Source organism: Homo sapiens, chromosome 13 (genome assembly GCF_000001405.40).
Source record: "Homo sapiens chromosome 13, GRCh38.p14 Primary Assembly".
Lineage (NCBI taxonomy): Eukaryota > Metazoa > Chordata > Mammalia > Primates > Hominidae > Homo > Homo sapiens.
The window spans coordinates 43,042,195-43,056,271 of record NC_000013.11 but is presented as its reverse complement, the minus strand read 5'-3'; the positions used below and the strand labels follow the sequence as shown (position 1 = coordinate 43,056,271).

Sequence of the window (14,077 nt, the reverse complement as noted above, 5' to 3'; positions counted from 1 at the left end):
AGCTACTTGGGAGGCTTGCTTGAACCCAGGAGGTGGAGGTTGCAGTGAGCTGAGATTGCACTATTGCACTTCAGCCTAGGCAACAAGAGCGAAACTCCTTCTAAAAAAAAAAAAAAAATTAAAAAACAAGTCTCAATAAATTTAAGAAAATCAAAATTATATCAAGTACTCTCTCGGACCACAGTGGAATAAAACTGAAAATCAACTCCAAAAGGAACCCTCAAAACCATGCAAATACATAGAAATTAAATAACCTGCTCCTGAATGATCTTTGGGTCAACAATGAAATCAAGATGAAAAATAAAAAAGTATTTGAACTGAACTGACATTAGTGACACAACCTACCAAAACCTCTGGGATAAAACAAAAGCAGTGCTAAGAGGAAAGTTCATAATATTAAATCAAAATGTATGTAATACATCAAAAATTCTGAAGGAGCACAAATAGACAATGTAAGGTCACACCTCAAGGAAAAAGAGAAACAAGAACAAACCAAACCCAAACCCAGCAAGAGAATAGAAAGAAGGATCAGAGAAGAACTAAAGGAAATTGAAACAGCAACAACAACAAAACAAAAGTGAAACAAAAACTGGTTCAGTTCTTTGAAAAGATAAGTAAAATTGGTAGACCCTTAGATTAACCAAGAAAAGAAGAGAGAAGATCCAAATACGCTAAATTAGAAATGAAACGGGAGATACTGAAGCAGCCTCGTTGTCTGGGGTAAATACCAAGGCTCTTGGTCGAACAGTCAAGGAGACGGAGGTCGCGAACACACACTACACACACAGACTTGAGTTTGGAGCAAAGTTGAATAGGCAAAAAGAAAGAACAGCTCTCCCTTGAAGAGATGGGTCCCGAGTGAGTTGCTTAGTAAAAATGTCAGGGTTTTTATAAATGGGCTAGTGAGGAGGGAGTTAGTGGCAGGTGGCGGGGGTGGTGCCAGTGAGGAGGGGATGTCTTATCCTCCTAGGGCCTGACGATTTAGTTGGGACCAGGTGTGCTATCTTTATAGAGCAGAGTTTTTTTTTTTATCAGCTCTCACTTTATTCCTGGATCACATGGGCAGACTTAGTCTGTGATGCCTTCTTTTGCTTATCTGAGAGGGAGAGTTTCTGTGTCTGTTCCCAGACATCTTCTTGCAGCTGCAGGCATCCCCCCAACACCCCTCCCCCACGACGTCTCCACCCCCACCTCCCCAAGTCCACTTTTAGCTTCTCTATCTTGATGTCCTAAAGGGAAAGGAATGTGCTTATTAAGGCCCACTGTTTTTACTGGGGCCCATTGTGAAGTTTGGTGATTACCCAGGAGACTCCCCGCCCTCCTTCTGTGCTCCAGGGGTTTATCTGTGATTTACAGCCTGATCTTTCAGGCTGCTTGTTTAGTTAGAGAAGTGATTTCTTTGAACTGCATGAGGTTAGAAGGGAGCTATTTCTGAGCTACTTTATGTTAGAAGGAAAGTTTTCTGCCAGGGACTCTCTTCTCCCCGTCTACCCAAATACTTTATTTCTATTTCCTATAACAATATTACAACCAATACCACAGAAATAAAAAGATCATTCAAGAGTACTATGAACACCCTTACACAGAGAAACTAGAAAACCTAGAGGAGATGGATAAATTCCAGGAAATATACAACCCTCCAAGATTAAACAAGGTAGAACTAGAAACTCAGAACATACCAATAACAATAAGTGAGACTGAAATGGTAATCAAAAAAACTGTCAACAAAAAAAAGTCCAGGACCAGATGGATTTACAGCTGAATTTTGTCAGACATTCAAAACAGAACTAGTACCAATCCTATTGAAAATATTCCAAAAGATAAACAGGGAATCCTCCCTAAATCATTCTATGAAGCCAGTTATCACCCTAATACCAAAACCAGGAAATGACATAACAACAACAAAATGAACACCTATAGACCAAAATCCCTGATGAACATAGATGCAAAAAACCTCAGCAAAATACTAACTAATCAAACCCAACAGCATATCAAAACAATAATCCACTATGATCAAGAGGGTTTCATACCAGGGATGCAGAGATAGTTTAACACACACAAGTGAATAAATGTGATATACTAAACAGAAGTGGAAACAACAATCACCCGATCATCTCAACAGGCACAGAAAAAGCATTTGACAAAATCCAGCATTCCATCATGATTAAAACTCTCAGCAAAATCAGGATAGAAGGAACATACCTTAGGGTAATAAAAGACAAACCCACAGCCAACATAATACTGAGTGGAGAAAAGTTGAAAGCATTCCTTCTGGGAACTGCAACAAGACAAGGATGCCCACTTACACCACTTCTATTCAACATAGTACTAGAAGTCCTAGCCAGAGCAATCAAACAAGAGAGGGAAATAAAGGGCATCCAAATCGGTAAAGAGGAGGTCAAACTGTCACTATTTGCTGAAGATATGATTGTATACCAGAAAACCCTGAAGACTCCTTCAAACATCTCCTAGAATTGATCAATGAATTCAGCAAAGTTTCAGGATACAAAATTAATGTACACAAATCAGTAGCTCTGCTATACACTAACAGTGACCAACCTGAGAATCAAATCAAGAACTCAACCCCTTTTACAATAGCTGCAAAGAAAAAACAAACAAAAAATTACAAAGGAATATACCTAACCATGGAGGTAAAAAACCTCTACAAGGAAAACTATCATACAAAAGACTGCTGAAAGAAATCACACACAACACAAATGGAAACACATCACATGCCCATGGATGGATAGAATCAATATTGTGAAAATGACTGTACTGCCAAAAGCAATCTACAAACTCAATGCAATTCCCATCAAAATACGAGCATCATCATTTACAGAGCTAGAAAAAACAATCCTAAAATTCATACGGCACCAAAAAAACAGCCCATGCAGCCAAAGCAAAACTAAGGAAAAAGAACAAATCTGGAGGCATCACATTACCTGACTTCAAACTATACTATAAAGCCATAGTCACCAAAACAGCATGGTACTGGTACAAAAACAGGCATATAGGCCAATAGAACAGAATAGAGAACCCAGAAATAAAGCCAAATACTTAACAGTCAACTGATCTTCCACAAAGCAAATAAAAACATAAAGTGGGGAAAGGACACCCTATTCAACAAATGGTGCTGAGATAACTGGCAAGCCACATGTGGAAGAATGAAACTGGATCCTCATCTCTCACCTTATACAAAAATCAAGTCAAGATGGATAAATCTAAGACCTAAAAGCATAAAAATTATAGAAGATAACATCAGAAAAACCCTTCCAAACATTGGTTTAGGCAAAGATTTCATTAAATAACCTGCTCCTGAATGATCAAAAAGCCAAAAGCAAATGCAACAAAAACTAATATAAATAGATGGGAACTAATTAAACTAAAAAGCTTCTGCACAGCAAAAGAAATAATCAGCAGAATAAACAACCCACAGAGTAGGGGAAAATCTTTGCAAACTATGTATCCAACACAGGACTAATACACACTATCTACAAGAAACTCAAACTAATCAGCAAGAAAAAAACAAATAATGCCATCAAAAATTATGCTAATGGCCGAGCACAGTGTCTCATGCCTGTAATCCAGCACTTTTGGGAGGCCAAGGCAGGTGGATCACCTGAGGTCAGGGAGTTCGAGACCAGCCTGGCCAACATGGTGAAACCCTGTCTCTACTAAAATACAAAAATTAGCCAGGTGTAGTGGCAGGCACCTGTAATCCAGCTACTTGGGAGGTTGAGGCAGGAGAATCGCTTGAACCCAGGAGGTGGAGGTTGTAGTGAGCTGAGATCACACCACTGCACTCCAGCCTGAGTGACAAGAGTGAGACTCTGTCTCAAAAAAAAAAGTGGGCTAAGACATGAACAGACAATTCTCAAAAGAAGATACACAAATAGCCAAAAAACATATGGCTCAACATCACTAATTATCAGGGAAATGCAAATCAAACCCATAATGCCATACCACCTTACTCCAGCAAGAATGGCCATAATTTAAAAATCAAAAAATAGGCTGGGCGTGGTGGCTCACACCTGTAATCCCAGCACTTTGGGAGGCTGAGACAGGTGTATCACAAGGTCAGGAGATCGAGACCATCCTGGCCAATATGGTGAAACCCTGTCTCTACTAAAAATACAAAAATTAGCTGGCTGTGGTGGAGCATGCCTGTAATCCCAGCTACTCGGCAGGCTGAGGCAGGAGAATCGCTTGAACCAAGCAGCCAGAGGTTGCAGTGAGCCGAGATCACGCCACTGCACTCCAGCCTGGGCAACAGAGCAAAACTCCATCTCAAAAAAATAATAATAATAATCAAAAAATAATAGATGTTGGCATGGATATGGTGAAAGGGAACACTTTTACACTGCTGGTAGGAAGGTAAACTAGTACAACCCCTATGAAAAACAGTATGAAGATTCCTTAAAGAACTAAAAGTAGAACTGCTGTTTGATCCAGCAATCCCACTCTTGGGTATCCAACCAGAGGAAAATAAGCAATCATATGAAAAAGATACTGCACATGCATGTTTATGGCAGCACAATTCACAATTGCAAAAATATGGAACCAGCCCAAATGCTCATCAAAGAGCGGATAAAGAAAATGTGATATATATACACACACACACACACACACACACACACCATGAAGTACTACTCAGCCATAAAAATGAACAAATAACGGCATTTGCAGCAACCTGGATGGAGTTGGAGACCATTATTCTAAGCGAAGTAACTCAGGAACGGAAAACCAAATATTGTATGTTCTCATTTATAACTAGGAGCTAAGGTATGAGGATGCAAGGCATAAGAATTGATACAACGGATTGTGGGGACTCACAGGGCAGGTAATGGGTGGGAGCGAGGGATAAAAGACTACACACTGGGTACAGTGTTCAGGTGATGAGTACACTAAAATCTCAGATGTCACCACTAAAGAACTTATCCATGTAACCAAACACCACCTGTTCCCCCAAAACTTATTGAAATAAAAAATAAAATAGCTGGGCACAGTGGCTCACGCCTGTAATCCCAGCACCTTGGGAGGCTGAGATGGGTGGATCGTCTGAGGTCAGGAGTTCGAGACCAGCCTTGCTAACATGGTGAAACCCCATCGCTTATACTAAAAATAAAAAAATTAGCTGGGTGTGGTGGCAGGCACCTGTAATCCCAGCTACTCGGGAGGCTGAGACAGGAGAATCCCTTGAACCTGGGAGGCGGAGGTTGCAGTGAGCTGAGATTGCGCCATTGCACTCCAGCCTGGGCGGCAACAGTGAGACTTAGTCTCAAAAAAATAAATAAAATACCAAGAAACAAAAACAACAAAAAGAAACCCAAATTAGGTAGATCACTAGAGTAAAAAAGGATGTTCAGTAAATAACCAAAATTGAGCAATCAAATCTTACTTATCCACACTAAAACGATAAAATACAGCACAGCTAATCAAAAACCCATTTATTTACTGGAATTAAAATTCCTTATTCAATTTCAAATCAAGGCTAAAAAAATTTTTTAAATCTTAAAAATTCTCTATTGAAAGGGTTTAATCTAAATTACCTCTCTTTGTATTTTAATTTGATATTAAAATAAAACTTTTTGAGCATGAACAATTGACAGTAAACAAACAAAAACATATTTAGAAGTTGAAATCAACTTGAAATTTTTTTTTAATCATGTATCCTATACAATCATATTTTGTAATCTGAAGTAAGAATAAAAGTCTTCATTTTGGGAGGCTGAGATGGGAGAACTGATTTAGCCCAGGAGTGAGACCAGCCTCGGCAACACAAGAAGACCCTGTCTCTACTAAAGAAAAGTTAGTTGGGTGTGCCTGTAGTCCTGGCTGCTTGGGAGCCTGAAGTGGAAGGATTGCTTGAGCCCAGGAGATTGAGGCCACAGTGAGCTGTGATTATGCCACTGTACTTCAGCTTGGTGACAGAGTGAGACCCTGTCTCAAAAAAACTAAAAAATTTTTTAAAATTTTAAAGGAAAGAATAAAAGTACTTATAAAGTTTCCTGTGGAAATAGTAAGGCTGTTAGATTTACAAGCAATTAAAACTGGCCGGGCAGAGTGGCTCATGCCTGTAATCCCAGCACTTTGGGAGGCTGAGGCAGGTGGATCACCTGAGGTCAGGAATTCGAGACCAGCCTGGCCAACATGACAAAACCCCGTCTCTACTAAAAATACAAAAAATTAGCCAGGTGTGTTGGCAGGTGCCTGTAGCCCCAGCTACTCAAAAGGCTGAGGCAGGAGAACTGCTTGAACCTGGGAAGTGGAAGTTGCAGTGTGCCGATTATCATGCCATTGCACTCCAGCCTGGGCCACAGAGCAAGACTCTGTCTCAAACAAATAAAATAAAACAAACAAACAAACAAAACTTTAACTGGCCCAGAATAATATGAATTGTTTCCTAGAAAAAAATTTATCTACTACCTAACATTTTTTTATTTGCTAAAAAGCCATTGGTATTTCTTTTCAGACACAGATTTTGTGAGCTGTAAAACAGTAACAATTCTCCTCAAACTTCCACATATATGAATGACTCAAACAGGAAAAAGAAACTAGTTTCAAATGTAGAAAACAGAAGTATAAGAGAAAGGGAGTCAATCTAAGTCTAAGTAAGTAACTCAACACAGAACTCCTGACCATACCTTTCTTTGGCTTTAATTTTAAAAATAAAATAACATCTAAAACACACTGGGGTTTCTGAATAACCTATGGTTTACTTGGCATAACTGTGTAAATATCAGATAATTCCATTAACATGTTCTCTATTTTACTATTGTTGAAAAACAATTAGCATGCTTTCATCACTATGCTATTTCTCGTTTACTAAACTTCAGTATCATATCCTTGGGCTAAGAGGATCTGTATTTTGTTTCTTTTATATGCACAACACCATATCTGATCCAGTTGTAAACATGAAGATGTATTTCGACTTTTATTTTGAATGTTTTTTAAACAATGATGCTTTAAAACTAAACTGCCAGTAACAGAATGAGAAAAAATGACATTGAAAAGACAATATAATAGTAAAATGGTGAATCAGGCATAGTGTTGGTACCACAACTACAGTCATTTTCTACCAACTAGGCAATAACCAGGTTAAATTCTGCAGAAACAGAAATGTTGCTGTTTCTTTGACTTAGGAAAAATTGGGATATGAAAATAAAAGAAATCAGGAAGTATGATTTAAAAAAGTAAGTATATTCCTGTACCCTAGTATAGGCTAAAACTGCCGTAAGTGTCACACATATGTAGCAGTAGATGATGAATATGGATGCCATATGAGGCTTTTTTTTTAATTCTTTAAAAAAAAATTCACAAGGCTGCCTTGGGCAAGTTTTAGTTTTGAAACATTTTATCTGACGATTCAGACGTTTATGGCTTAAAAAAGTAGCTAACATTTTCTAGGCCTGCAGAAAATCTAATTATTGGATATATTTTTGTTGTTGTTACACAAAATTAGGGTACCACATACTTCTACTTATAGAACAAGCTGATCTTTCTATAAATATATGCACATATATACTTAAAAATGAAATCAGTTACAAATGCCACCAAAAAAATTCTTTTACAACTGGTCCAGCATAATGTTTGGGAACAGTGGTCTCTATGTAAGAAAAACCAAAAACCTAACATTCTACTTACATCAAATTTAGAAATTTAGTTTTTAATAATCTGTCATGGTCACCATGGGGGAAAAAAAGATGATATATATTCAAAAAACAAATTTATGTGATATGGGACAAGGGTATTTAAGCTTTTTGTTTTTTGTTTATTTTTGAGACAGAGTTTTGCTCTTGTTGCCCAAGCCAGAGCGCAATGGCGCAATCTCGGCTCACCACAACCTCCGCCTCCCGGGTTCAAACGATTCTCCTGCCTCAGCCTCCCCAGTAGCTGGGATTACAGGCATGAGCCACCATACCCGGGTAATTTTTTTTTTTTTTTTTGTATTTTTAGTAGAGACGAGGTTTCTCCATTTTGGTCAGGCTGGTCTTGAACTCCTGACCTCAGGTGATCCACCTGCCTTGGCCTCCCAAAGTGCTGGGATAATAGGCGTAAGCCAATGCACCCGGCCTAAGTTTTTAAAATTCATTACTTTAGAGTACACTTGTCAAAAATTACAAAAAGCATAGCTTTCACTGCATTCTCTCTGACCATATACAATGCATGAATATTTTGGATTTAAAAACTTCCAGGCATATGCATAATAGCACTGCAGAAAGCAACAGATGGCAAATTGTCAGTGAAATCGAATGGTTTCAAAATGGTGGCAGAGTTACCACAGAGAATCCTCATCCTAGACTGCTAGGTCTAGCTAAAGAAAAATCTTATGTTCTCACTAAATAGCATCATTACACAGTTATGGTTTCTGATGCCCGCTGGCCCTTCAAGCCTACTCTGTACCATCATCTTCCTCATCATTAATTAGTACCCTTTCCCATTCCTCATGGCTCGTACTAAACTTTTACTTTCTAAATAAGCCTTCAAGTTTTTCATCCATGCAGCAAGCATGAGCCCCTTATACTTTCTACTCCTTCACACCTGAATGCTATGTATGGGGCTGCTATGGAAAGTCCATGGGCTTCAAGTTAATCAGGCCTGGGCTCCAATTCAACATTCTGTGATCCTAAGCTATTCTCTTTGGGCCCATTTCCTCATCTATAAAATTAAGATACAAATACCTGTATCCTAACATGCTCGTAATGATTCAAACAAGGTTATGAAAAATAACCAGCACCTATGTGAACGTCACAGACATTCCATGTTGGTCCTTTTTTCATTCTCATATTATTTACTCTTACTCCTTTTGTTCCTCTCTGCTTTACTCCTGGGAAATCTTACTCAGCAATCAACTTCAAGCTCATCTTCTCAAAAAAGCTTTCTTCACTCACCTCTCACCCAAACAAAACTCTTCAGTACTCCATAGTACTCAGGAGATCTTTCTACTGTAATATATATTACATTAGTTAATACTCATTTACCTATTTCAAATCCCTTCCAACATGTAGGCTTCCGGAGGTAGGGACTGTGTTTTATTTCTTTGGATTTCCAAAATCTAGCAAAGCGTCATTTTCTAAAAGTTTGTATAATGACATGAAAATGATCTTAAGAAACTTTACCACTGTTACGGGCGGGTCTTTGGTCTTAGAGCTCCCAACATGGGGTGGGCCGCTCCCAAAATGACGGCAAGCCTTTTGTTCTCTGACCTGGGGTTCTTGGCCTCACAGATTCCAAGAAATTGAACCTTGGGCCATGTGGTGAGTATTATAGCTATTAGAAGCTGTGGGTCATGGAAGAGAACGGTGGAACCCAGCAACCAGTGTTCAGCTCGATTAGGGCACTTAGCCGTGCAGTAACAAAGGCGAGCCTTTAGCCTGATCAGGTGCGGCAATGTGCACCTCACTGGATCAGAAACGCAGTGGACACCCTGCTGGATCCAGAGGGGTGTAAGTCAGCGGCAGGTCTGCGACGGCAGCAAACAGCAGCGGTGGACAGCGAGCAAAAGCTCAGCTCGAACCGTAACAAACACGGACCAGAAGAGTGTGCAGTTGCAAGATTTAATAGAATGAAAACAGAGCTCCCGTACAATGTGAGAGGACCCAAAGGGGGTTGCCCACTCTCTGCTCCAATGCCTGGGTTTATATCCCAATCACTGCCCCTCCCCCTGTGCTCTCAGGCGATATATGATTTGACTATTTCTTTACCTCCTGCTTTTAGCTTAATTTGTATTTTAGTGAGCCCTCTTTACTACCTGATTGGTTGGGCGTGAGCTGAGTTACAAGCCCTGTGTTTAAAGGTAGGTGCGGTCACCTTCCCCAGTTAGGCTTAGGAATTCTTAGTCGGCCTAGGAAGTCCAACTAGTCCTGTCTCTCACCACCACCGAGATGTCTCTTGTAGCTCATATTTTATGTGTACCATACTGGTGACCGAAATTATGTTTTGAAATGGGAAAATATAATGGACAATGCTAGTTAAACTTAATTAAAAATCTAACATATGGTCATGCTTCAAAATATCCTGGACCAGGTAAATATATTCAAAAGTCTCACGGAAGACAAAGAAAATAAAGTTAGGACCTTATGTCTGGTAAATTTCCTTACAAAAAAAAAAAAATGAAGATAATCCACAGGTTATGTGGAAAACATGAAAGAATAACTAATTTGTTAAACAAACATTAAGGAAAATAAACTCCCAATAAAAAGGTTAGGTAATTTAGCAAACAGGCACTTGAAGGCTATTTCCCATCTCTGACTGGTTCATTAATTAATTCAATAAATACTCAGTATTTACTATGTGCCAGTCATGATTTTAAGCCCTAGGGATATATCAGACAAAATCCCTATCCTCATGAAGGTACATTTTAGCAAGAGAGACAGACAACAAACAATTTTAACAGGAAAAATATATAATTATTTTACGCAGTGATTTGTGCTATGGAAAAAAATTAAGCAGATAAAGAAGTAGGTATGTGTTTGTATGGTGAGAGTGAGGGAAGAGAGAGACCCTCTCACATTGTTTTATATTTTATACTCAGTACCTGTTTTAAGAAAAAAACAAGGAAGTGAAATCAAAGACAGGCAGCCTGGCCCCAGGCCCAAAACCACGCCCGAGCCTGCATGGCCTAAACCTAGTAGTTAAAAATCAACTCATGACTTAGAACCCGATGTTACCCATAGATTTCAGGCATTGTATGGAAGAACATTGTGAAACTCCCTGCTCTGTTCTGTTTCACTCTGACTACCAGTGCATGAAACCCCGTCACATATCCCCTAGATTGCTCAATCAATCACAACCCTTTCATATAAAATCTTTAGTGTTGTGTGCCCGTAAAAGGGACGGAAATTGTGCACTCGGGGAGCTTGGATTTTAAGACAGTAGCTTGCCGATGCTCCCAGCTGAATAAAGCCCTTCCTTCTACAACTCGATGTCTGAGAGGTTTTGCCTGCGGCTTGTCCTGCTACAAGAGCAACAAATTTAAAGTGAGTAGGGCAAGCTTCACTGAAAAAAATGACTTTTGGAAAAAAATTAAAGCAAGAAAAAGGATTCCTTAGATTTTGGACTAGCAATGGGAACAAGTGTAAAGTCCCTAAAGCACAGGTGTGCCCAGTGTGCCTAACGAATAGCCAGAAGGCCAGTGTGCATACAGCAGGAAGAGAAAGAGAAAAAAATAGGCAACAAGGTCGAACAGGTCACAAGGGGAGCAGATCATGCTGGGCCTTATATGGTCAACATAAAGACTAGCTTTTCTCCGAGTGATACAGTACATCATTGTTTTGAGCAGAGGCCTAAGATTATTTCAATTAAAATTCTAAGGATCATTCTACTTGTCATGTTGAGAATAGATTGTAGAGGATGAAAAGCAGAGGCATGGGGATGAGTTGTAAGTCTATTAAAATAATCCATGAAAGAGATAATGGTCACTTGGGCTACAGCGATTAATGATGGAAATGAGGAAAGTGGTGAGATACTAGATAGAGTTCGGAGGTAAGGCCAATAGGATTTGCTGAGACACTGGATATGGAGTCAAGGTTTTGAAATGAGAAAATATAATGGACAATGCTAGTTAAACGTAATTAAGAATCTAACATATGGTCATGCTTCAAAATACCCTGGACCAGGTAAATATATCCAAAAGTCTCTCGGAAGACAAAGAAAATAAAGTCTTTGCAACCAAAAGGAACTAAAAGGACCTTTTAGTTGTCTTGAGCAACTAAAAGGAAAAGAGAAGAGTCAAGGTTATTGTCTTGAACAACTAAAAGAATGACACTAACTGCCTTTTGCTGCAAGGACTGTGAGAGGTCTGTGGCAGAGAAAGGGTATGTCATGAACTCTCTTTTGGACTTACTTTCTAACAATATGCCGTGACGAGTATGATAAAGCCTAAGTGAAACAGTATGAGAATTCCTAACACCTAGAGGGTAAATGGAGAGGTCTCATCTACTAATGGAAAAGAAGAATGAGCCAGATGTTTGGAAAACATTCATTCTTTGTTATCTTGCAGTGAGTTAATTCTCAAGGGTTAATCACAAGCAAATCACTTTCTGCTGAACTCAGTGTTTTATGCTGTCTTACTATTAGGTTCAGTCTCCACAAAGAAAACTCTTTGAATTTAAACAACAGCAAGTGGAAAGGAGAAAAAAAGAGAGGAAACAAGAAAGACTGCTGGCAAATCAATATAATTTGGGTAAAAGAGGTATTATACATGCAGATTAGAATAAGGAGGGGAGGAGAATTTACATTCAAGAAAAAGTGTCAGACACAATAAAATGACAATAACGAGAATTTATAAAATTATCCTGCCCTAAAATCTTCAAGCCAATATAAATTTCAGACTTTCATATCTAAATTGAACCAATCTACATTAAGACACCCTACCTTTACCATTATTGTTCCATTGCCAAAAGCAAATACATTTGAACTTCTCCCAAAACACCAATTCCCACGAAACCCTTACATTAAGCAAAAAAGAAAGGCAAAGCTAACTACATTTCTATTTGCTCTGTTTTTAAGTTGCTTAATTTCTCTTAAACCACAGGCAAGCATTAGTATCTACAGCAAGACTAGTGAATAAATAAAAGGGCGAAACAACAAAATCAGAGGCCAAACATGTTAGGAAACAAAACTCTTAGGCTTACCCCAAATGAATGTTACTCCACTCTCCAGCATAATTAAAAACTCCTCAAAGTTAAATCTTCACTATAGATAATGATTTTTTAAGAATAATCTTTTTCACACTGTCAGAAAAGGTCTAGAATAAGTAAATAAATAATAACAAGAATGATCTTTTAAGTACTGTTTTGCATTTACTCAAAATAACAGTGTGAGTCATGGCTCTACTTTCTCATAATATAAGAAGCTTTTGAGGTCAGGCATGGCAGCTCATGCCTGTAATCCCAGCACTTTGGGAGACCAAGGCGGGTAGATCAACTGAGAGTCAGGAGTTCGAGACCAGTCTGGCCAACATGGTGAAACCCCGTCTCTACTAAAAATACAAAAATTAGCTGGGAGTGGTGGCACACGCCTGTAGTCCCAGCTACTGGGGAGGCTGAGGGGGGAGACTCGCTTGAACCCGGGAGACGGAGGTTTGCAGTGAGCCAAGATCATACCACTGGACTCCGGCCTGAGTGACAGAGCCTTTCAAAAAAATAAAAATAAACAAATTTAAAAAGCAGCTTTTTTAAACCAAAATGTGAATAAATGTGACTGGTCAGAAAATCTTGCTCCTGTCATCAACCATGTCCTTCCTGACAGCCTGGAGAGCACTTGCAGCCCCTGAACTCATCACAGGCTTGCCAAACCAGGTTGCATATTTGGCTTTAAGTTCTTGAACCCAGGAACATGGTGACAGTTAATTTTATGTGTCAACCTGGCTACACTATGCTTACCCAGTTAGTCAAACACTGATTTTGGGGTTGCCATGAAAGTATTTTGGAGATGTGGCTAACACCTATGGAGTTTATCTTTGATAATCTATGTGGGCCAATCTATATGGACCAATCATTTGCAAGGATTTAAGAACAAAATTGAAGTTTCTCTGAAGAAGAAGAAATACTGCCTCAAGAATCTCATCCTATCTGAAAGCTCTCAGACTGTGGGCCTGCCCTACAAATTTTAGACTTGCCAGCTACACCACCACAGCTGGTCCCTACCTTATGTGGCACCATGACATTTTTTCTCAAGATAAGCTCTCCCTCTTTTGAATCTGCTGGCTTTCAGTTTGGGAGCTGGAGCACTTGAGTCATATCCCCCCATCCTAGTTGACTCTTAATGCACTCCTGCCCTTCTGTTTCACCACCCTTCATGTAAAGATGTTATGATTGATCCCTGTCCCTAACACAGGAGAGTGCCTGCTCTATATTGCTTCTCAGCTACTAAGAAGGAGGAAGAAACAAAACTATAGTAGTCCTCTCTTACAGTTTTGCTTTCCATGGTTATAATAATATATTTCCAGAGAAAGAGAGACCATACTCACATAAGTTTTATTACAACTATAGTTATTATTGTTCCATTGCATTGTTTGTTGTTAATGTCTTACTGTACCTAATTTATAAATTAAACTTTATCATAATTATGTATA

General features: G+C 39.0%; 1 protein-coding gene across 1 annotated transcript in view, besides 6 other annotated features; it reads right to left on the bottom strand.

Annotated features, from left to right (window-relative positions):
- Positions 1 to 14,077, bottom strand: part of DNAJC15 (DnaJ heat shock protein family (Hsp40) member C15) — a 90,628-nt gene that overhangs the window by 57,942 nt on the left and 18,609 nt on the right. The window lies entirely within an intron of this gene.
- Positions 855 to 904: an enhancer, noted in NCBI's record as "active region_7667". NCBI's record gives its function as "activates an Ori minimal core promoter by ATAC-STARR-seq in GM12878 lymphoblastoid cells {active_cell/tissue: GM12878}" and the evidence as "EXISTENCE:reporter gene assay evidence [ECO:0000049][PMID:35858748]".
- Positions 1,035 to 1,194: an enhancer, noted in NCBI's record as "active region_7666". NCBI's record gives its function as "activates an Ori minimal core promoter by ATAC-STARR-seq in GM12878 lymphoblastoid cells {active_cell/tissue: GM12878}" and the evidence as "EXISTENCE:reporter gene assay evidence [ECO:0000049][PMID:35858748]".
- Positions 1,225 to 1,304: an enhancer, noted in NCBI's record as "active region_7665". NCBI's record gives its function as "activates an Ori minimal core promoter by ATAC-STARR-seq in GM12878 lymphoblastoid cells {active_cell/tissue: GM12878}" and the evidence as "EXISTENCE:reporter gene assay evidence [ECO:0000049][PMID:35858748]".
- Positions 9,448 to 10,123: an enhancer, noted in NCBI's record as "H3K27ac-H3K4me1 hESC enhancer chr13:43620285-43620960 (GRCh37/hg19 assembly coordinates)". NCBI's record gives its function as "activates a minimal SCP1, AML or CMV promoter by ChIP-STARR-seq in primed H9 embryonic stem cells {active_cell/tissue: H9 hESC(primed)}" and the evidence as "EXISTENCE:reporter gene assay evidence [ECO:0000049][PMID:30033119]".
- Positions 10,465 to 10,524: an enhancer, noted in NCBI's record as "active region_7664". NCBI's record gives its function as "activates an Ori minimal core promoter by ATAC-STARR-seq in GM12878 lymphoblastoid cells {active_cell/tissue: GM12878}" and the evidence as "EXISTENCE:reporter gene assay evidence [ECO:0000049][PMID:35858748]".
- Positions 10,625 to 10,674: an enhancer, noted in NCBI's record as "active region_7663". NCBI's record gives its function as "activates an Ori minimal core promoter by ATAC-STARR-seq in GM12878 lymphoblastoid cells {active_cell/tissue: GM12878}" and the evidence as "EXISTENCE:reporter gene assay evidence [ECO:0000049][PMID:35858748]".